This window comes from Homo sapiens, chromosome 3 (assembly GCF_000001405.40).
Source record: "Homo sapiens chromosome 3, GRCh38.p14 Primary Assembly".
NCBI classification, from domain to species: domain Eukaryota; kingdom Metazoa; phylum Chordata; class Mammalia; order Primates; family Hominidae; genus Homo; species Homo sapiens.
This window is the reverse complement of record NC_000003.12, coordinates 10,321,716-10,344,128: the sequence shown is the minus strand read 5'-3', so window position 1 is coordinate 10,344,128 and position 22,413 is coordinate 10,321,716. Positions and strand designations below refer to the sequence as shown.

General features: G+C 53.3%; 1 protein-coding gene and 1 non-coding gene across 18 annotated transcripts in view, besides 2 other annotated features; one reads left to right on the top strand and one right to left on the bottom strand.

Moving 5' to 3' along the window:
• Positions 1-20,106, top strand: part of ATP2B2 (ATPase plasma membrane Ca2+ transporting 2) — a 384,094-nt gene extending 363,988 nt beyond the window's left edge. For 13 of the 17 annotated variants that reach the window (NM_001438036.1, XM_017006484.3, XM_006713175.5 and 10 more), the window contains 5 exons: positions 1,164-1,377; positions 3,425-3,636; positions 3,780-3,887; positions 5,771-5,953; positions 15,004-20,106. In NM_001438036.1, the coding sequence (NP_001424965.1) occupies positions 1,164-1,377; positions 3,425-3,636; positions 3,780-3,887; positions 5,771-5,953; positions 15,004-15,315 (1,029 nt within the window). In that variant the 3' untranslated portion in view covers positions 15,316-20,106. Of the gene's footprint in view, positions 1-1,163; positions 1,378-3,424; positions 3,637-3,779; positions 3,888-5,770; positions 5,954-7,828; positions 8,001-12,091; positions 12,147-15,003 lie in introns of all 17 variants that reach the window. The other 4 variants (XM_017006488.3, XM_017006485.3, NM_001363862.1 and 1 more) reach the window with 2 other exon arrangements.
• Positions 4,275-4,842: an enhancer, noted in NCBI's record as "H3K27ac-H3K4me1 hESC enhancer chr3:10380971-10381538 (GRCh37/hg19 assembly coordinates)". NCBI's record gives its function as "activates a minimal SCP1, AML or CMV promoter by ChIP-STARR-seq in primed H9 embryonic stem cells {active_cell/tissue: H9 hESC(primed)}" and the evidence as "EXISTENCE:reporter gene assay evidence [ECO:0000049][PMID:30033119]".
• Positions 13,844-13,900, bottom strand: MIR378B (microRNA 378b). The gene has a single exon (NR_036084.1). It is a non-coding gene; the product is annotated as a microRNA 378b (primary transcript).
• Positions 15,297-15,845: an enhancer, noted in NCBI's record as "H3K4me1 hESC enhancer chr3:10369968-10370516 (GRCh37/hg19 assembly coordinates)". NCBI's record gives its function as "activates a minimal SCP1, AML or CMV promoter by ChIP-STARR-seq in primed H9 embryonic stem cells {active_cell/tissue: H9 hESC(primed)}" and the evidence as "EXISTENCE:reporter gene assay evidence [ECO:0000049][PMID:30033119]".

Genomic DNA, 22,413 nt, shown 5'->3' with positions numbered 1-22,413 from the left:
GGGGTGGGGAGGACGGGGGCAAGGGGAGCGAGGCTGAGGCAAGGAGGAGGTGAGAGAGAAAGCCAGGAGCAGGGGCTGTGATGAAACCTGGGAGGTGATGAGTGGAAGGGATGCAGGTATATGGGGCTTTGGGAGAGAACAGAGGTGGGAAGAGCATCGGGTTTGGGCTGTTGAGCTTACAGGGTCTGGGGGCTTCCTGGAGGAGGTGTTCCACAGGCCACTAGACGGATGTAACTAAAGCCACAGGACGAGGAGGAGAATGGGGCTGAGGCAGGAACACAGATTTAAAAGGAAGGGAGGACGACGACCAGGAGAGTGGGGTCAGGATTACAAGTGGGAGTGCAGGGGCGAGGTCAGTGACATCTGGCCGAGAAGAGGTCCTGCAACTCGTGGCACAGAAGGTGCTGGTGACGTGGGCGGAGGGCATTCTGGGAACGTGGAGGGGCCAAAGTCTGGCTGCTGTGGACAAGATACGTGGGGGTGTGAGGAAGGATGGGGACAGAAGAACCAGCTCCTCTCAGCCAAAGAGACAGGTCTGAAAGGGTCCCTCCCAGAACCTGGACAGTGGTGACCTAAAAGTGGTGAGGTCCTTGACAGTTTTAGTTGCTTTTGCTATTCCTCATTTGCCATATTTCCTACCTTGAAATGTATTAATTTTTGAGTCATAGATACGCACAATAATTTTTTAAGGTAAGGCGGGATAAGAGGGGAGGAGACATTGGGGGGGTGGGGGACGGGCACTGTTTGTAGGATAGAAAGCCCGAGGGGGAGGAGGCAGTGGGGGGAGGAGGTAGGAGCCCATGCCGGAGGCGGTGGGAATGGTCTTGGCCTCAGCCAGGAGAGACCCCCTCCTCGGGGGCTGGAGGGGAGAGGGGAAGATGGTGAGATGCAGCTGAATTTACCAGAAGGCAGGGAGCTGGTGGCCATTGGGCCTGGGGGGACTCACTTATCTCCTGGCAGGGAAGATGTGGCTGAGGTGGGCAGGTCTGCACTGTTCTCCAGAGAAGGCATCAGAGAACAACTCCATGCCTGCTGGGGAGCCAAGGGGCAGGTCGGACTCCAGCCTCCAGCAGGAGCCTGCGGACACTACACCATGAGCCCGCCCAGCACTTCACAGCAGCAGGTGGGCGCACAGGTGACAGCCCTCTCCTGCCCGTCCCCAGGACTCCCCTCTGAAGGCCGTGCAGATGCTCTGGGTGAACCTCATCATGGACACGTTTGCCTCGCTGGCACTGGCCACTGAGCCGCCCACGGAGACCCTGCTGCTGAGGAAGCCGTACGGCCGCAACAAGCCGCTCATCTCCAGGACCATGATGAAGAACATCCTGGGCCATGCTGTCTACCAGCTTGCCCTCATCTTCACCCTGCTCTTTGTTGGTGAGCGCCTCGCCCACCCACGCCTCTCCCAGGCGGGGTCATCACCTTCTGGGTGCACCATGGCTCTCACCCAGCATTCTCGAGTCACAACCCCCTCCTGTTTTGCTAATGGGGAAATTGAGGCCCAGGGAGGTCAAGTAAGTTGCCCAAGGTCACACCAGCAAGTCTTGAACAGGGCCTGGCCCTGTCCCAGCTCTGGCTAACCCTAAAGCCATCAGTGGCTTTCTCCACTGGTGACAGCTCCTGGCAACAAGTACAGACCGTGCAAGGCCCTGACCGGGTGCTGAAGCACTGCATGGCAGCCCCAGAGGCACCTGAGGCTGGGAGGGGAGTGACTCACCCCTTCTCTGACCCATTCCAGCACCTTATCCTGGCCCCGTGGAAGGGACCCTCAGCAAGGCTTCCTGGGGCAGGGCATACACGCTCACACCACCACCGACTCTCACAATGCTTCCACTTGGGCTGCCTGGTTGGGTCTTCCACTCAGTGAGGCAAGCACATTTGCCTCCACCCCACATTACAAACGAGGGCACCAAGGCTCAGAGAGGTGAGGTGACTTGCCCAAGGGCACACAGCCAGTCTGAGGAAGAGTCTGGGCACAGAACCAGGTCTGGCTGGGGCCAAGACTGGCCTGGTTTCCACAGATGCTTCGGAGGCAATCCCAACAAAGCCTATCCCCAGGTCACAGATGGGGAAACAGAGGCCCAGAGAGGGGAAGGGTCTGGCCCGCAGTCCCACATGGAATCAGGGCCAGTTCTCTCCTTACAGGAGCCTCCCGGAGCTGGCCTTTCACTTGTCCTCAAAGCCCAGAGTGTGATGGAGGTGGGCATGGATCCATTCCTCAAAGGCAGTTAGTTGCCTTTTATAAATTTTGAAAGTAGTGTGTTGTCAGGACACATTTTACTGTTGTAAAACTTATCATGAAAAAGCTTAGAGGAAGCCACTTATATGCAGAACTAGAAGAGACTCAGAGGAGGTGGAGGGGTTGGAGAGGAGAGGAGAGCGGGGGTCCTGGTCGGCTTGCTGGCTTGACCACTTGAGCAGCACCTACCCTGGGTAGTCTTGGGACATCTCACACCCAGAAAACTCCACAAGCCTCCTGGCACCACTTTACTCAGCTGTGCAAAAGGACACAGGACTTGGCCAGGTGCAGTGGCTCATGCCTGTAATCCCAGCACTTTGGGAGGCCGAGGCGGGTGGATCACTTGAGGTCAGGAATTCGAGACCAGCATGGCCAACATGGAGAAACCCCATCTCTACTAAAAATACAAAAATTAGCCGGGCGTGATGGTGCGCACCTGTAATCCCAGCTACTTGAGAGGCTAAAGCAGGAGAATCACTTGAACCCAGGAGGCGGGTGTTGCAGTGAGCTGAGATCACGCCACTGTCCTCCAGCCTGGGCAACAACGAGACTCCATCTCAAAAACAAAACAAAACAAAACAAAAAGGATACAGGACTGCATCAGACACCCTATCAGCAGCGTCTACACAGCAGTGCCCTGCCATGTGACAGCTCAGGTGTTAGAATGAAGCCACATGGGAGGGTCCAGAGCCAGCCTAGCCCAGAAGTCCTGGGCTCCATATAGGAATTGGCATCTCTAGTAACAGCCCCATGAGCTTGTAGAGGTCTCAGCAAGGGACATGCTCAGGAACAAGAAGCAGCACTCTCGGGGCAGCGCAAAACCTCCCGCAGGTATCCTGTCCTCGCAGTCCAGAATGAGTTTTCCAGTCTGAGGTCACTTTTTAGAAGCCATGTCGCCCACCTTTAACACAGCCGGCCGTCCACCTTTATCGGGTTTCCACAGAAAAAGTGGAAGACAGTTGCCCAAGGCCTTTCTTCCCCAGAGGAGAAAGGGCTTTGCTGACCCTTCAGTCCTAGTCTCTGACCAGCTGACAGCACAGCCCTGGCCCCCCACTGTCCAAGCATGCCTTGATGTCTTGGGGATTCACGTCACTGCTCAGAAGAGGCCCCCACGAAAGGCCAGGCATCTCCCCTCTGATTCCCCCACCACTGCCTTCAGCCCAGCCCCACTCTCTCACTTGGCAGGCGAGAAGATGTTCCAGATCGACAGCGGGAGGAACGCGCCCCTGCATTCGCCACCCTCAGAACATTACACCATCATCTTCAACACCTTCGTCATGATGCAGCTCTTCAACGAGATCAACGCCCGCAAGATCCACGGCGAGCGCAATGTCTTTGACGGCATCTTCCGGAACCCCATCTTCTGCACCATCGTGCTGGGCACCTTTGCCATCCAGGTAGTGAGGCCCCCACCCTAACCAGGCCCGGGGTGGGCAGCAAGCGGCTGGAGCCCCTGGGCAGGACCCTGAGAGCCCAGCCCTCTGTGCTGGTCCCTGATGGCCTCTCTCTCTCTCTTTCTCTGCTCCCCTGTGACCTCCAGATAGTGATCGTGCAGTTTGGAGGGAAGCCATTCAGCTGCTCTCCACTGCAGCTGGACCAGTGGATGTGGTGCATATTCATTGGGTTAGGAGAGCTCGTTTGGGGCCAGGTAAGTTCCTGGTAGGTCGCAGGAGGTGCCTGTTAGCAGGGCAAGGGAGACAGCACTGGATGGAGAATCCAGGACCCCCAGGAATGGGCTGCCAGACCCCAGGCAAGCTCCTCCCTATCTCTGGACATCTGAGCAAGGGGGTTTGTCCCAGGTCCTATACTGGTCGTCTGGGTACTACTGCTCTGATTTTTGCCTTATATCTATCTACCACTGCTCCTGTTGTTTATGTAATATTTTCTCTCAATCACGTCAGCTTTTTTAACTTAAATTTGTTTTTAAAGGCAACGTCCTGTTACTAAGACAACTGAAAAATCAGTATCACTTGTCATAAATGGAAGCTAACAAAAACATTAATGTAATGAGAATGACATTATTAAACTCCAGCTAGAAGCCATGGCCTGCCAGGGATTCAAGGCTGGAGCAGCTTGTTAGGAAGGGAGATGAATCAGTGGTCTGCGGGCGCTGGTGGCCGGCTGGCGTCAATCAGGATCCTTTAGAGCACTCAGAGGGAACGCAAGCAGGACACACTCTGCCACATTGCGGTGTTACTCAGTGCTGTGCCTGTGGCCATCTGTGGCCTCAGTGCTGTGCCTGCCCCAGCTCTGGGGCTCCTTGGGCTGGATGCTCTTTAGGGGCCCTTCCAGCTTTGTCCCAGAATATTCTCCCACCAATTCGTTTTTCTACGTTTGCCCAAGTTCCAGACCCTGTCACAGCTCTGAGAGCATGCAGCCCAAAGGCTCCTGACCCAGGACACAGGGCTTGGGAGGAGGGCCCAGAACCAACTCAGGGCCTAAGGGGCCTGATTCCCAAGGTGCTCACACATCCAGGCAGTGGGACCCCATGGGTGGGAGGCATTTTTCTTGCCTTCAAGCTGTCTGCAGGCTAGAGTGAGAAGCTACGGGGGCAAAAATTAACTAAAAGATAAATAAGAAAGTTTAGTTTCATCCAAAAGGACTTCCTGTAACCTTTGGGGCTGCTTTGGAGAGTGATAAACCCCTGGGCACCCTGGGGGCCAGGCCATCTTTATCCCACTGGGGCCCACCCCCTACAGGAGGCTCTTGGGGGCTGGGCCCAGTAACTGAGGGAAGGATTCAGAGGACAAAGGTTAATGCCAGCGGGCAGTGCTGACTTTACACTCCCAGGGAGCCCCCTGAGGCTGCATTCATGCCAGCGCCTGACTGCTCCTACAGGAAATGGAAGGGGCCTCTGATATCTGCCACCGCAGCTTTCCTGTAGGGCCTGCGTCTGGGTCCTCAGCCCCATGGACAAGCCTTTTGGGGAAGATTAGGAATGAAGGCATAGCTCTTTCCCATTCTGCCTTCCCAGTCCAGGATTGGCTGCCTTCAGGGTCCAGTGACCTCAGGAGGAATAAGGGACAGAGGAATAAGTAACCCCAGGAGAACCGAGGGCCAGCCACGGGCCAGGCTCATGCAGGACGAGTTAGACCCTCCACCGTGCCCAGTTCTCACCATGCCCAGAGCGGCCCCCACTTTACAGCTAGGAAAACCAAAGCTCGGTGAGGTTAAATGACTTGCCCGAGGCCACAGGACCAGGGTTGTCTGGGGTATTCAAAGCCACATCTGTCCAACTCCTAGAGGCCAAGATTGTCCACTATGTACCCTGACTCTGAATGAATGAATTAAAAAGCAAATTGCACTCCAGCCTGGGCAACAAGAGTGAAACTCCATCTCAAAAAAAAAAAAAAAAAAAAAAAAGACATTGTCAAAGACTGGGCTGAGGAACAGGTGAGGTGGGTGAAGGAGTAGATTGATCACATGCCTGGGTGAGCGGGTAGGAGGAGGGAGGTAGAGGAGCGGGTGTCAGGGAGAGAAGGCCACTGGGAAGGACAGCCCCACCGTCCTGACAGACAGGGTCCCTTGCAGGTCATCGCCACCATCCCGACCAGCAGACTCAAGTTCCTCAAGGAGGCAGGCAGGCTCACACAGAAGGAGGAGATCCCGGAGGAGGAGCTCAACGAGGACGTGGAGGAGATCGACCACGCGGAGCGGGAGCTGCGGCGGGGCCAGATCCTGTGGTTCCGAGGCCTGAATCGGATCCAGACACAGGTACAGGAGGCTCTTGGGGGCTGGGCCCAGGCCTGGCCGGGGCGGGCCAGGGGATGGAGGTGAGTGTGCTTGTGCTGCCCCCCAGGGCCCAGCTCTGGTGCTGAGGGAGGGTGGCTACAGAGGGGTCCCGGCCAGCTCTCACCAGCCACTTGCACACCCACTCCTGTGGCTGCTAAGGAACAGCACGGCCTCCTCAGAGAGGTCCCATTGTGCCCTCTCAGGGCAGCACGGGGAAGTGGTAGGGGTCACACCCACCATGGTCTCCAGGGGGATTTCCCTGAGAGGGTGGGGAAGGGTGGCTCTGAGGGCAGAGGTGAGTGAGGGGACTGTCGCTCAGGGCTGGGGGCACCCACCCACAGGGGCCGTGTGAGGCTGGACAGAAGCTGCAGGCCAGGTCGCCCAGGGTCCCCCAGGGCGTGGTGGTCAGGGGGTCCGCCGCCTCCACGGGGGCTTCAGTTGCTCTCCCCAGCTTCCCCTAGGGGGTGGAGAGGCTCTGGGGAGCAAAGGTCAGTCATCCTCAAGCACACACAGACACACATGCACACACCAAGCACACCAGGGGAGCACAGGTGCAGGGCGTAGCCAGCCAGAAGCAGGTTTCTTCCCCAGAGCAGAGAGAGCATGGCTGCCACGTGGCACACGACACACCTGCGCGCCTCCCCCGACCCCCCCACACACATACCACATGCTCTCACATGGTCCCCTTATGCCTGGAGCAGGTGTTGTAGCTCACAAGTGCTGTCACAGCCCTGCGAGGGGAGGGTCAGAAGGGACTCTGTGGGTCTCTTGCCCAGACCATCTGGGGAGCTGGAGTGGGAGCTCCTCCATGCCCCAGCATGCTTGGGCGAAGTGCAGTGTAGAAGCAGCCACCTGGCCACCATCCTGCCAGCTGTGGCCCAGCACCTCATTTCCATCCGATGTAGCAGAGAGCTCACCTGGGTCACCTCCCACCCCTCTGTACCCTGTCCCAAACCTCACCTCATGTGACCTTCACAGCCCTGGGAGGTAGATGTGACTCCCCCAGTTTTAGAGGTTACCAAGGTCCAGGAGATGGCCCCTTCTACTGAGCTGGCACAGCTGGGGTGGGGACTGGAAGCCGGTTTCAGACCCGGAGGTGCCTGACACGGGCCTGGGCTCACCCTCCCTGGTTAGGGCCCCGCAGCCACCCCTCCCAGCCTGCCCCCACCTCCTGGGAGGTCCAGGACAACTCAGTGAATATGTCCCTGGTGCTGTCACTGCCCTGGCGGCAAAGCCACGCAGGGGTCTCCAGATTACGGGAGGAAGCAAGGACTGCGATTTCTTGAGTGGGCAGGGGCGCCTGTCTTGCCTGCCTCTTGCGGAATGCTAACACGGGTCAGGTGCTTTGCCACTTACAGATAACCCTGCCAGGCAGGTGGCATTGACCCTTCTTAAGAACAAGAAACTCGACTCAGAGAGGTGGCTTGCCCAAGGTCAGCTAGCTAGTAAGTGACAGAGCTGGAATTTAGGCCAAGCTCTGTCCACCTCAGGACCCCCACCACACCCTCTACCTCCACGCCTGTACCTGAGGGAGGCTGAACACTGCTCTCTTCCCTCCAGATACCATGTTTAATCACTGCCTCCCCCACTGGCCAGCCCACTGGCCCCTGAGCCACTAGCACAGGACAAAGGCCGGACCCCCTGTGTCCTCCCGGGGACCCTGGGGCCTGCAGGTGGGCCCAGAGCTGAGCAGACGTTTTTCAGAGCCTTGGAGTGTGTCTGGTATTTTTGTTTTGATTTAAGTGACATTGTCGTTGTTGCCGTGGCTGCGGCTGTTCTTGTGACGTTGCCCTGTCAGTCATGTAGCCGTTGTGCTCGTTCTTCTCGCAACTTGTCTCGTTCTCTCCTCCGTTGCAGATTGAAGTAGTCAATACTTTCAAGAGCGGGGCCTCCTTTCAGGGGGCCCTGCGGAGACAGTCCTCGGTCACCAGCCAGAGCCAGGATGTAGCCAATCTCTCTAGCCCTAGTCGCGTGTCGTTGTCCAATGCTCTTTCCTCTCCGACCAGCCTTCCTCCTGCTGCAGCCGGGCGTGAGTGTGACTCCTTACTGCCTCCGGCTGGCACTGCCCACGCCAGCTCCCAGGCGGGCAGGGGCTGGGGCACCAGAGGACATGGGGGGCAGCCGGTCACAATCAGGCCCAGGGGGATGAAGGGTCCCAGCCACCGAAGAGGGTCCCGTTGGTCAGGAGAGCGTAGCCAGTCATGCGGTGGCAGTCACTCAGTGGACCAGGGTCAGTCAGAGGGTCATTAGGGTCCCAAGTGGCCAAAAAGTCTGGTTCAGTCAAGGGGTCACCCTTGGTCAAGAGGACATCAGTGACCAAATGGTCCCAACCCACCACAGGGTCCCGGCAGCCAGAGGGGGACAGACATGGAGGGGACACAGAGTGTCCCACTGGCCTAGGGTCATATGTGGTCAGGAAAAGCCTGGACCACCAAGGCAAGGGTTGGAGTTGGACAAGAGGTCCCAGTCTTGCAGTCAAAGTCAGCAGAAGGGTCACTGTGGGTCAAGGGGAGCAAGCCCCTTAGGGTCCCAGTCAGTCACATTGGGATCCACCCAGGAGAGGGTCACGTCAACCAGACTTTCCCAGTTGGTCAGGGGGCACCCACAGTAATGAGGGTCATGGTCAAGGGGGACAGTTGAGCCAAGAGGTCACTGCAGGTCAGAGGTCATAGTCAGCCAGGGATCCCCAGGCCACCTAGGAGCTCACAGCCTAGACGCTGCACCCCAGCAGTTCAGAGTCTCTGCCCGCTTCCTGTCACTCCTCCCCTTGCACTTTTGACTGCATCAGCTGCCCTGCAGACACCTTTCCCTGTGGCTGAGCTTGGAACTTGCTGAAGTTCTAAGCCCTTCCTGGAAAGGACAAGGTCCCTGGCCCATTCAGCTTGACCCCTGGTAGAAAATGGTGGGTCGAGCCTCACATCTTGCCTGGGTGCCAGCAGGCCCAGAGGGACCTGATATGCCCTTCAGCATCCTGCCCTCCTTTATCTGAGAGATAGCCTGGGACTGTGGCCCCTCCTTCATCTCCCTCCTGCCAAGCTCATCTCCTCATGCCACCACTTCTGATCTAGATCACTCATTGCTGGCTTTGTCTAGCTCTTTCCCGGACCCATGGCTTCGGGCCCCATAGGGAACAAGTCTGTCTTTCCTCCCATCGCCCTGCTATGTTTCCAGTCAGGCGCTTCTGATCTGCAGGGGAGCCCCTGGTTCTGGTCTTCTCCAATTGGCATAGTGTCAGTCTTAGCCTCCAGCTTCTTTGATGAGAAGTAGACTCCAGCTCACCCCTTGAAACTTTATAAAGGGCCTCTACCCCCATCCAAAACCAGAACACCCACAACACAACCCCTGCAGCCAAGCAGGTAACCCGGTGTGCTGGTGGGAGCGCCTCCCTCAGTGCCTCCAGTAGGAGGCGCGGGCCACAGGGAGCCTGTTGATGGCAAATGTCCACGACCCATAGCGGCAGGACAGAAGCAGAAAGCAGGGAAGGAGCCTCTCAGTGCTCATTCGTCAGCACAGAAACGCAGTGCTGGGGAGGACCGGGGAGCCAAGATGAAATGGAGATGCATTTCAGCAGATGGTGGCTGAGTCACATTTCCATGAGATACCGTCACTAGGCAGTCACTGCCAGGATTTCTCGGGGAAGGCAACACCGGTCCCATCCTCCTCCCCTTTAGACCAGAGAGCTCTCACCTTAGCAGCAGCCTAGCCAGCTGACCTCCCAGCTCCTTTCTGCACCAACTCAGCTCTGGCCTTGCTCAGCACCCCCACCTATCCTGAGGTGCGGTAACCAAGTGTCCCGGCAGGGAGAGCTACATGGGGAAGAATCCACTTCTGTTCTGCCACCCCTCCCGATGACTCCTGCGGCCCTCCGGCTGGGGCTGCCTGCTAGCAGTCTGGCTTCTGGGTGAAGGCCCAGTTCTTTGTCCATCCCAGTTGAGCCTCTTTCTTGAAGGGCAGCACTTCACCCTGGCCACGACGGAGCACACCTGACATCGCTGGGCAGGCCCACTGCCTTTGGAAGTCGTCCCCGAGTCAGCCCCTCATCTTAGCTTTCACAGCCTGGAAGCTAGAGCTGTCCGCTCAAACCTCAGCCACTTCTTTCTCAGCTTTTCTTCTGCCTCATTTGCAAAGCCATTCAATAGGGCCCGTCCGGGAACAACACTTCTTTGCAGAAATGCCCTTTTCTTCATTTCTGCAGAAATGCTTAGACAGGAATGTGTCTACACTGACCTCCTTCGAGGCCAGATCAGTCCCCTGTAGCCCGTGGTTACCCCAACTTTGGAACAGTCTTGGAAAAGAAGCCCAGGCAGAGGCTCAGCCAAAGCCAACTTGACAGTCCTTGCCCTGACCCCTCATTCTCTCAGGGGACCCGGCAGGGTTGGCCAGGGCCTCCCCACCCTGCTCACCATCTTGCCTCTCCCTCTTCATGCCTCCTGGAGAATCTCGCATTCCCCCTCTGTGACAGAATCCAGCCTGTAATTCTGGGTGCCTCCTGAGACCCTTCCTGAGCCTATAGTCTTAAAAAGAGCCTGACCAAACCCCTGCCTGAGGGCACTGGTTCCCAGACAGGATCACAGCCTCTGTGGTTTCAGTACACACATTTGGACAACACAGCCTCGTGCCTCCTTTGCTTGAGTAGTGTCTACAACAGTGCTGCCTCCTCTGGTCTCCAAGGACTCTGAGGACCCTCTAAACACCAGCCAAGGTCCCTGCAGAAGCCAGTGTGCTTTCCTCCCACAGGGAGGTTTAAACAGGTGGCCAGGAAGTGACAGAAGGGCCCCAATTTGATGGGATGAGGAAGTGGGCCGCCCCACTACCCCACAACTCCTTCACCCCCACCGCACCCCACCAGCCTTCTGAGGGGGATCTGCTTCCTGGGGACTCCCCAGCAGAGGAGGCTGCCCATGTGCCTGCTGAGGCAAAAACACCTGCAGCCAGTGTGCCCTGGAAGGAGTCAATCCACTGTCCCCTGGGTTATGAAGAGTTGACCACAAAGGCCTGGGACAGGGCCTGACTTCTGACCTGGGACACTGGAGTGAGGAAAACCCCTGAACACATCGCAGGCCCTCCCCTCCCCACGGCACCACCGCAAGATGAAGGCCTCAGCAGACAGACGCACATGGTAAGCCTGACCGCAGTCACAAGGCACATGGCACGAGGATGCTCGGGAGGGAATGAATTGGTGCACTCTTCTGACTAACTCAAAAACGAGGTTGTTTTTGCCCCGGAAACTTAATGGCACGTCCCTATTGCCTTATACCTGAGCCCCACTCAACATTTCCAGAGCAGTTCCCCACTCCCTTTACTTCACAGATGCCTCACCACTGAATTGTGGGAGGGGAGGACCTGCCAACACATCCATTTCGCAGAGAAAGACACTGATGAGGCCAGGGTGACCACAGCAAGGGCGTGGCAAGAGGTCAGACTCCGGAGTCCCTCATTCTTCCCACTAGTCACACCGCTTCCCAGGAGGCCCACAGACCTGGAGCCACAGAGGCTGAACTTCCATTCCGGAACCAGTGCCCACGCCCACAGCCTCATATCGTGAAAAGGAGTCAGTCCTCCAGGGAAGGCCAGGGAAGCTGTTTCTCAGCTTGAACTTCTACCAGCGTGGCCAAGACTGGGGAGAAGGGCACCTTCCCACTGGTGGTCAAGGACAAGATTAGCATCCCACACTTCGATCCAAGGCAAAGCCGCACAGCCTCTCTTTCTCATTGCCTCAAATTCCTAACTCATCTCAAACCATCTTTGTGCTTAGCAAGTCTGTAGCAGGCTCCGTGTTTATCAGTGGAAGTCCTGCTCTTTCAAACCACCCAAGCCAAGAGCCAGCCCCATAAGCCAGGTCCAAGCCACATTCTGGACGCCGTACCTTGCTAGACAGATAAGGCACCTCCTGCTCCCACTTCCCCTGCAGATTCCTGGTTCTGACGACTCCTAGGGCAAGGAGTTTGCACTGTTAGGGGGAGAAATGAAGACAACAAAAAGGGAAGAAAGCTGGACTTCTCATTAGCGTTTTGGTAACTAATTTAGTGCAACCTTGGGTTGGCGAGAAAATGGCTTGCTTTGTGGGGGGAACCCTAGACCTCTCCACTGTCTGAATATTCCATGTGTTTGTTTCCCTAGAGGGCTAGAGAACCCTGGACACAGAGTTCAGCAAGAGAGAGTGAAATTAAAAGAGGTTGTGAGTCTTTAACCTTGAGCCTGAAATGAATGTGAATCAATCCCAGACTCTTGGCTTCCTTGAAGCCGGGTAAACATTCGAGTATGTAGAACCCATCTCAGACCAGGGCCTGTGCGTTTTCTCAGAGCCCTCTGACAACGGGCATGGGTCTCCCTGTTCCCTTTGTGCTGACGAAACCAAAACATCTGAAACCCCGCTCACCAGGTCCCTTCCTCTCCTTCCCCTCACCCCCACGCCCAAATGCAGCTTATGCCAAAAAAAAAAAAATTCCTACCTTTAGGGTAGGCAGGGAGGGGAGATGGAAGAGCCTTTTTTTTTTTTCCCATAGTTTTTTCCATTTCAGCCTCGGAGAGAACCGAAGTGGAGACTTGAGATGGCCGTGGCGGGGTGTCCCAAAAAGTCTCGTCCCCACAGTCTTGTCCAGAGCAGTTCATTTTTTCTGTTGTCTCCATGCCACGGGGAGGGCGGAGGGGCCTCATCTCATTGTGTGTCATCCCCTCTGCGTTGTCAGTCACATGACAGGGTCCTGCCACCATCCCCCTGCCCCACACATACACTAGGTGTTCCAGTCAGCATCTGAATTGCACTTCAACCTCAGAACACACTGAGCACCAGGCTAGGCAGCTACAGCCTTGATGCTATTCCCATTCTACAAACAAGAAAGCTGAGGCCTGCAGCGCCTTCTTTGTTTTCAGTTAATCAAGGTGTAACGGCTCACTTTTCAGGAGATCAGAATATGAACCATCTCTGCAGAGCCACAAAGAGGGACTCCAGGGGGAAAGAGCTCAGAGCAGCCACAGTGGCCATGATGGAGCACCAGCATAAAGGCCGTGTCTGGCTGGCTCTTATTTGGCACTTGTTGCCTCTTATTTAAAGCACAATTCCAGCAAGTGGGGTACCCTGGAGTCCCAGCTCACAGTATGCAAGGTGAAAGGACAGAGGTGCTTTTCAGAAAACAGAAAAGTCAGCACTAACTAGTAAGCGATGACTGACAGCAAGGGAGAAAAAACAAGACAATCCATGGGGTCTTACCTAAGACCAAGAAGGATAATTGACAAAGCTTATGTTAAATTCTTCTCTGTGCACTCTAAATTAGAAGTCAGAGGAGCGTATGACATGCTTTAGAAAGAATTCCCTCTGCAACAGTAAAACAAACCTTCAGCGATGACACTTAAAATCATCAACCACAGTCACCTAGAAACTCCACTTCCATAAAAGAGGGCTTTCCCCACCAGGGTTTCACAAAGGAGCTACCCCTGGGTTCCGCTGAGAGCTCAAGTCCTGGGACTTCAGGGGCCTCCCCACGACCGTCTCGTCCAGTCCCCTGCCTCCCCGCAGGCCTGTGGTGCAGGGCAGCCACTGCTCTGCAGGTGGGTGCCACTTGGCCTGCACACAGCAGCCGACTAAGGCTCTGTCCTGGAGGCGCCAACGCCGCCTTGTTTTCTCCACCTCTGACTCCACTCCGAGTTGGGGCTGGGACGAGAGGAGGAGGCACCTTTGTCCCAAGTCCCATCAGACTCTTGAGATGACAGGCACTGCTGCCCCTCCCAGGAGTCCAGAGAAGGGACACCTCTCTTCCAAGTGAGGGTCCCGTCCCTCTGCACCCTGTGAGGCAGGACAGAGGACAACCAGAGAGCTAGTGTGGCTTGTCCACAGTCAAGGCACCAGATGTGGCAGAGCCAGGATGCAAGTTGGGTCTTTCTGCCTCCAAGTCCAGTGCTCTTTCCACTAGCCTTGAAGACTCAATGACCAGCCTCCTCCCATTCTTCAGCGGAGGAAACTGAGGCCCCAGGACGTGTGGTTCACAACTGAGACAGAAAATGAAAGAACTTGCTGTTTTGTGACTCAGTTCCACACACCCCAGAATCCCACTGGGGCTGGGTTTGGCCATCTGATTCCAGCCTCGTTTTTTGGTTTTGTGTTTTCAAAGCACAAATAAAGAAATAAACAAAATCCCCCAGGAAATAAGAGACCCCAAAGCAAGCTCCAATAACTGGCCGGCCAGGGCTTTGAGTCTATACTCGAGTGTTTACCTCCCAAATGCATGAAGGAAAGAAACGCTGGGTACAAACGACCTCCGTTCACATTGTCCAGGCTTCCAAGTGTAGCCGTGTGTCTGTCTGTGTGTGCCATGTGGCTCCCGGCCTCCCCGTGGCATGCAGCCCGCCCCCGAATGTCATCTGTCCGCCAGCTCCCATGTGCTTTCTGGCTGCCTCTGCTCTGCACCTCAGAAAGCCCTGGGTTGGCTTTGGTTTGCTTTGCTGCCTTTGGTTTGATGTTCCCGTTCTGTTTGGCCCTCATGTGTCTCTCTCATCCCAACTCATCCAACCGTCTCTCCTTTCTGTGCCTTTTCTGTTTGTGACACGTAACATGTTCCATGTTGTATGGTTTCTTAACTGTGTGTGGTTTTCCTAAGATGAATTTTTTTAATAGCCTCTCCTCTTTCCTACTTGATTCCCACCTGGTCCTCCTCCCTGTCTGCATGGTTGAACCTCTGCTTTAAAGTGAACAAGGCTCAGTCTCTCACTAGGTGTGGGTGCCCGCAGGAGTCGACTGTGCTTCCTTTAACCACTGTTCCCCATCATCTCTTTGATGGTGCTTGGTGATTCCTCCTGTCCTAACACTAGTTTCTACCAAAACCAAAGAGATTTTTAAAAACCAGCTCAAGGATGCCTATAACCTGAGCCCCCTTTTTCACTCTCCCCCATCCTGTCAATGCTAATAACACCCAGCGACTATGGATTCCAGCCACCTGCTTTGCCCTAACCCTTCTCCCACCCGCCCCTCCTGTGAGCCCCCCGAGCCTGGCTGTGGTCCCTGGGCAGTGCTCCTGACCCCTGTGCTTCCCTTGCAGATCCGCGTCGTGAAGGCGTTCCGTAGCTCTCTCTATGAAGGTTTAGAAAAGCCTGAATCTCGAACCTCCATCCATAACTTCATGGCTCATCCTGAATTCCGGATCGAAGATTCCCAGCCCCACATCCCCCTCATTGATGACACCGACCTGGAAGAAGATGCCGCGCTCAAGCAGAACTCGAGCCCGCCGTCATCCCTCAACAAGAACAACAGCGCCATCGACAGTGGGATCAACCTGACGACCGACACAAGCAAATCAGCTACCTCTTCAAGTCCAGGGAGCCCCATCCACAGCCTGGAGACGTCGCTTTAGCTGAGGACCCTCTCGCCTGCCCGCCCGCCCTCATGGACCCCGCTGCCACCCGCTTTCCGGGCACCCATCCATCCAGGCACCCAACTCACCCAAGCAGCAACGAGCAACAATCGGAAACCAAATACTGGAGAGAAAACCAACGTTTCCACCCACAGACCCTTTCTCTGGCTGCGATGCTGTTTGAACTCTTTTTCACTTCAAGGCAAGGGGCGGGATCTCCACTGGGGGCTTACGGGAGTGAGCGGTTTTCCCAAAACAAGCCCTTCCTGGCTCCCACCCAGACATGGACCAGCCATGCACCCGCCCAGCCACCACGTCCCCCGCATGAATGTACTGTACACTTTCAATCCTCCCCTTGTTTGGTTTTTGGGGGTTGGGGAGGGGTTTTTGTTTGTTTGTTTGTTTTCTTAGGCGGGAACTGCAAACAGACTCTTTTCTGAGACTATTTATCCAATCCACTGGTCTGTGAGTTTTTGAAATGCTTGCACAGCATGGTCTCAGTTGTATAGATTAATTTAATAACTTTTTGAAATTGCAGAGCTTAACTCGCCTAGTAGATTTGCACCAATGGAACCGAAGAACTTCATAGACACTCACAAGGTTATATCCATTTCTTTGTATCTATATCAACGTATACTTTTCCGAGACTGTATACGTCCATATAGATAGGTAGATATATATATATATATATAAATATATATACATGGATATATAAAGTTTCTTTGCCGGCATGTTGCCTTGTTTCCGCTTAAATTGCTCTATTTTAACTTATTTATGTCCTAAAAGAAGAATGTAATTTGTTTACAAACCTGTAGATAACGTCTTTGGCTATTTGTATGGTTTAAGAACACTGGTGGCTGAGATGCTATAAAAACAGCTCGGCCCAACAGACACTTCCCCTGGGTTGCATCCTGGATGTTTTATGATAGCCATGCTCTGATTTTTGCCTGCTATTTCCGTTCAATAATGTCACTACCGTGAGAGGCTCAGGCAGAAGCCAAATGCTACCGAGTTGCCATCCTGAGGGGTTTAACAACATGCTCCGTAGACGAAGGGAGAGGAGGAGAGAAGGCTTCCTGGGTTTGCAACACTAACGGCCATCCGGCCCAAGGATGCCAGGATCTGCAAAGCACTGCTCGAAGACTTTTCTCTCAATGAAACTCGCTTGAGTTTACTAAGAGCATTTCAAAAATAGGTTCTCTTTGGCACTGTCTGTACAGAGATTGAGGTAGTGTTGAAATATTATAAATGGTATTGTGTTGATTTTTTTTTTTATTTAGTAACTTACAGGTTTGTTTCCTTATTAATGGCAGCATCTGAGCTGTTGGCATATTGGATGAGGATCAGTATGGCTTGCTGCTTTTATTTTTATTTTTGAAGAAGAATAGCCTTTTTCTCTGCACTATTTAGATCCGAATGAACCTTATGATGTGTATATTGAGATGTACTCAGTGTGATTTTAAACCAAATTGTCTTCCTGTAGTCACAATATATACTGTAGCCTTTTAACAGCAAGTCTTGCTTTCCCAAACAGAAAGCCATTCTGAAACCCTACAGTATCACAGGTGAGAAAAGGTGGTTATTTTTTCCCCAAGACAACAGCACTAGTAATCCCACTTAATAAGAGCTTATTTAATTGGATGTCAGCCTCTTAACTGCTAAGCACTTTGTGGGTCTCAGCGTTTTTCATAAAAGAACTTTTGTATTTAATACAAAGTTTGCTTTGAGACTTTTCAGCATATGATCTTTTTTCCATAAACTTGTACAGTGCAAAAGACATTTTGAATACCATGATCGATGATGTCCCATGCTTCGAGGAAAACCAAACACTTTCCGCCTCTCTTGCAAAATCCATTCCTCATGCTGACCCTCCTCACGATGGCTGTGTCAGCCCAGCCCCTTCCCTTCTCCAGGCCCAGAGAACTCTTCCACAAACAAGATGAGAGCCACTCGGGAAAAGAGCCATAGTCAACTGGGAGGGCCTACATCTGGATGGCGGTGGAAAAACTTGAGGGTTTGGGGTTCAAAGTCAGCCCATCCCACCTGGCAAAATCCTCCTGGAAGGAGGACCTTCAAGAGCGCATCACCTGAATGTCGTGAAGAAGTATCTCTGAATGTATCCAGGAGAGGAACTGCATAACCAAAGGGGTGACCAGCCCTCAGATGTGCTTATTGGATTCCAGTACAAACGCCACCAAAGCCAGCCCACTGCTCTCCTACAAGGAAGGAAAGATCTGCACGTGTAAAACATGGGGCAGCCTTGGAACATGGTGTTTTTTGGAGTTTCCTTTCTCACAGTTTTCCATCTCCCCACTTCTTTGATCAGTCATGTGTCCGTGACCTCGTTCCATGACATCAGGATAGCTGTGTTTGCACACCATGCTCCATGTTCATTCGGAGCCAGGAGGGGTTCTCAGTGGAGCCTGGCTTAGGGAACAGGGAGCGATGGAAGAATGCCAACATTAGCGTTGGTCTTCTCTTGTCAGGAATGAAGGATGCTTGCACACATGCACCCCCTCACTCTCACACTTGCACACATACACACACACACACACGAAATGGTTGGTTTGTCAAAACTCACTGTAGTACATAAAGCTTGCACTCTGCGTCCTATATCTAGCAGCATGGGGTACGTTTGGCAGTTCACTCCATTAGGGGGTAAATAATTTATGACCATTCATCTGTTTTTATGAATTTTTTTATCTAGACAATAATGTAAATAAAGAACTCACCATCTCTGTTCATTTAATACTATGCAATGGTTATGCTTTCAATCGCTGGCTCTTCTGACTCGTGCAGTGTGGTTCTGAAATGTTTGTGGTTTAAAAAAAAAAGCAAAAAACAACATCAAACAGAACATAGTAAATATATCTGTAATGTATACTTTTTTCTACTTTGGGACTGCATCATCCACATAGCTTCTTTTCTGTCCTCTAGACAAGGGCTCCAGGAGTAAGTGGCAGATTTGGTTCTGAGAGCTAAGCTCACCAACTTGTCTCCCCCTCAACAGATGAGGGAAGGGCAGGGAGCCCGTTCAGTGACTCCTGGCGCTGCAGAATCACTCATCTTTGGAGGTGAGCAGAGAGAGCTCTGAGGAGTTTCCTTCTTGCAACTCAGGCGGAGCTTTCTTTAACTCAGGAGCAGCCTCCATTGCTCCCGCCAACCCCTCACCATGGCCCCTTGTCCCCTTGTCCCAACCATAGCATAGAGATGACAAGAGAGAGGCAGTCCTATTTCTGAGACTGGACCAATTAAAATGACTGCACTGGCTCAAAGGACTCTGAACCTGTCTTGTCCTGGGTCCTCCAGTTGTTGGAAGCCACTCTTTTCCCCAACCATGCTGAAATGCCACCTTTACCACACACTGATGTCTTACATAGACTTAGATCTATTTCTGGAACTTCTCTTCTCTTCGCTTACTTGGGTGTCTCATCTGGCACCAGCCATACAATTTTAACTATTGTCAATTTCTAATGTCTTATTATGTGGTGGGATGAGTCCCTTCACTCTTCTTTTACAAAATTTCCTAGTTATTCTCTCACATCTATTCTTCCACATAAACTTTAAATTGTGCCCAGTCCTCCACCCCCTGTCCCATTCCCACCCCCAAATTCTGGGCTCTGTCATTCCCTGTGCCATCATCTTCCCCCCATTGTAATTACTGTCCACTCAGGGCTGTGAAATAGACTATGTTCTGTAAAGAGGGACAAAAAGGGCATCCTGATCTTGAGAGAAGCCTGCTGTTCCTCCCATCATTTCACCTGCCCCCTAAGCCCAGGAGTTGTCATGAGAGGTCACCAGGCCCCCACTCAATCTCAGCTTGGGAACCAAAGTCACCCACCTTGGTTGTGTTGGGGTGGACCCGCCATCTGTCCCTGGTCCAGACGAGAAAGAGGAGTCTCTCCTAGGCCTGGAGCTGGGAAAGAATGTGTGGCCCAGTTGTCTGCACTTCTAATTCTCATCATGGAGAAACCTTTATTCCTATCTCCCTTTCCTGAACTGGTTTTTTGTTGTTTTTGTTTCATTTTGTTTTGGGGGGATAGTTTCTTGCTCTTTAATTTGGAGTCTCCAGTACCTTTGGGATGCAGGCAGTTCTTGCCTGGGCCTTCTCGGAACCCTCACTCCCCTAGCCCACTCTTGCGCTACCTGCAGGAGGCTGCCAACCTGGTGCATTCTGACAAGCCTCCCACCCAAATCTCTCTCCTGCCATTGTGTCCAAAATCCCACCATTAGAGGCTCTTGTAGGGAAGAGCGTTTCTTGAAGGCTTTTAGGCCTTCCAGAGCCAGGAGGGAAGTCAGACAATAGCAGGAAGTCCCCAGGCCTTTTCAAAGTTCCAAACCAAGCTCTCCTGATTTTAATGTAGAGATCATACCAACCCAGGTGGGGGAGGAGGGTCCCCAGCCCCAGGCAGCAGCCATCACCCCCTCCACTGAAAACAATATTGGAGGCTGCTTTGGGACTGCCCTTCTCAGCCCCCTAAGTCTGTTTTGTAATGCCTGTGGTGCTCTCCCTCCTGGACCTTTCCTCTCGGGGGTCACCACACTTTGCTAACTCTTGTGTGCACATATTTTATAATAGAGTAGCGAGGGAATGGTGCCGCCTCCAGCTTCCGTAAGCTGCCCGGGCTCTGGGGGGCTCTGGGACAATCGGGGCTGGGAAGTGACTGTGCTCTTATTGTACACTCTTTATTTCTCTGTATCTTTGGCTTGTGCTCTTTGTAATTAATGGGATTTGTCTGCCTTTTCAACACTATACTGAGCAATAACAATAAATGCACACGTGGAAATGCAGACACGGTACACATCACAAGGCCTTTTTCTGAAGGACAGCTGGGTCCCCGCCCTTCGTGGAGTTGAACTCAGGGGGAAACTGAGTCCCTGGGAGGGAAATGCACTTTGCCCAAGGGCCCACAGCTCAGCGGGCAGTCTCTCTCCTTCCACTAGATCACACCTTTTGAACACCCACCATTTGAGGGAGACAGGCTCACCCTGCCATGAGCCATTAACCTATGAGGAATGGTTGACCATCTCATAGAAGAAGACTGGGGAACGGGGCCTCAGGACGAAGCGGAGGAGGTTTGGGGGCAAGGGGTGGGGGGGCAAAAATCAGGGAAAGTTGGCCTGATTTGGGGTCTGGATTAACCAGAGGGAGGAGATGCGGAATACAGACACTGGATCTAGGTGGCACCCCCCTACTGGGGAGAGGGGTAAGGCAGAGGGAAGCCTGGCACCTGAGGAGTCTGGACTTCACAAACCTCTGCTGAACATTGGCAGAGAAAGAGAATATGCCCAGACCAACAAGTAATCCCTAAGGTTGGCCCAAGGGTTGAGAGTTACACACACACTCACACACTCACACAGCTCTTCTTAGGTTGAACTGATCCCCAAATCAAGCGCCATAGGCCCATCTGACTTCCATACGCAGTTTCATATCCAAGGGTTCATTTAATCCCAATATCAACCTTCAGAGGAGGTATTATTATAATTCTCACTCAAAAGAGCAGGAGACAGCATCTCAAAGAGGTGAAGAGCATGCCCACCTGGTAAGCAGGAGATCCAGCACTGATACCTAGCAGTCTTGATGCCAGCATCTGTACTCTAAACTGCCATATTACAGCGCCTTATGGGCCAAATACCTTACAGCAAATACCTTAATGAATAAGATACAGTTCTGTTGCTTGTCACAAATCCCCAATCTCTTCAACATCAGTGTCTACACAAGGAAATTCTTTTAATCACAATTATGCCTGATGCATTATATTTACATCTAATATGCCCTTGTCCTCATTTTCCACTCAAAGAAAGTGAGGCTCAGAGAAAAGTGACTTGGCCTTATCACCTAGAAAGTCAGTGGTGCAGCTATAGAGCCAAGGCCAGAGCCTGTTCCTTGAAGAACAGGAGATCTGGCAGGACGCAGCGGCTCACACCTGTAATCCCAGCACTTTGAGAGGCCGAGGAGAGTAGATCACCAGAGGTCAGGAGTTTGAGACCAGCCTGGCCAACATGGTGAAACCCCATCTCTACTAAAACTACAAAAATTAGCCAGGCATGGTGGCACATGCCTGTAATCCCAGCTACTCAGGAGGCTGAGGCAGGAGAATTGCTTGAACCCGGGAGGTAGAGGTTGCAGTGAGCCAAGATCATACCACTGGACTCCAGCCTGGGCAACAGAGCTAGAGTCCATCTCCAAAAAAAAAAAAACAAAAAAAACAACAGGAGATCCAAGAGATCCCCTGAAACCTGCCTTTGTTCCCTGCTCTAACCTAACCACCACCCCCTCACACCCCTGCAACAATTTCTCCACTAGAGGGCAATAAAAAATCTTGAAAGCTGCAGTGGGGTAGAAGAGTTGCCCAGAGGCCTGGCCCTTAATTCTAACACCCTACTCCCCTGGCCTCCCCTCCAAAGCTCCTTGACAGTTTGGGTCTATCACATTCTCTGAGCCTTAACATCTTCCTTCAAGCAGTGACCATCTCCAGCTAGGGTCCTTACTCCCAGTTTCAGCAGAGGAAACTGAAGGACTGTGACTTGCCCAAGGGGAGCCAAGGCCTCCCCCAGCTCATCTGCCTCCTTAATGTCACAAGGGGCCCAGGGCTAGACCATATGTGGCTGAGGCGGGGAGCCCAGGCTCTGTCCTCCAGTGTGGCATTCTCACTGCGCTTGTGGGGAGCCTTCAGCTGCCCTACCTTGTGAAGCCAGAGACCTGGGGTTGGGGACCCTGAGGATTAGGTCTGGGGCTCTAGCTGCAGGAGCCTGGCTGAGATCCTTCATTGCCTAGGGGGGTCTCCTTGATGGGACTTACTCAGGACCCCAGGGGATCGGTTTGGAAGGGGCAGTCCTATATAGGGGTTAGGGATGGCAGGGCCAGAGGTCCCAGCCTCTGGCGAGGGGCATTCCCTGGCCTCCTCTGCCCTGGTCCCAGTCCTTGGGTACTGAGAGGGAGACTACAACAAGGAAGCACTAGGACAGTCTACTTACTCCTAAGATGTCACTCATCCTACAACATTCATCATAAGACCAGTCGCACCCAGAGCCGTAGTGAGGCGGGTGAAGCTGCAGATAGATAGATGATAGATAGATAGATAGATAGATAGATAG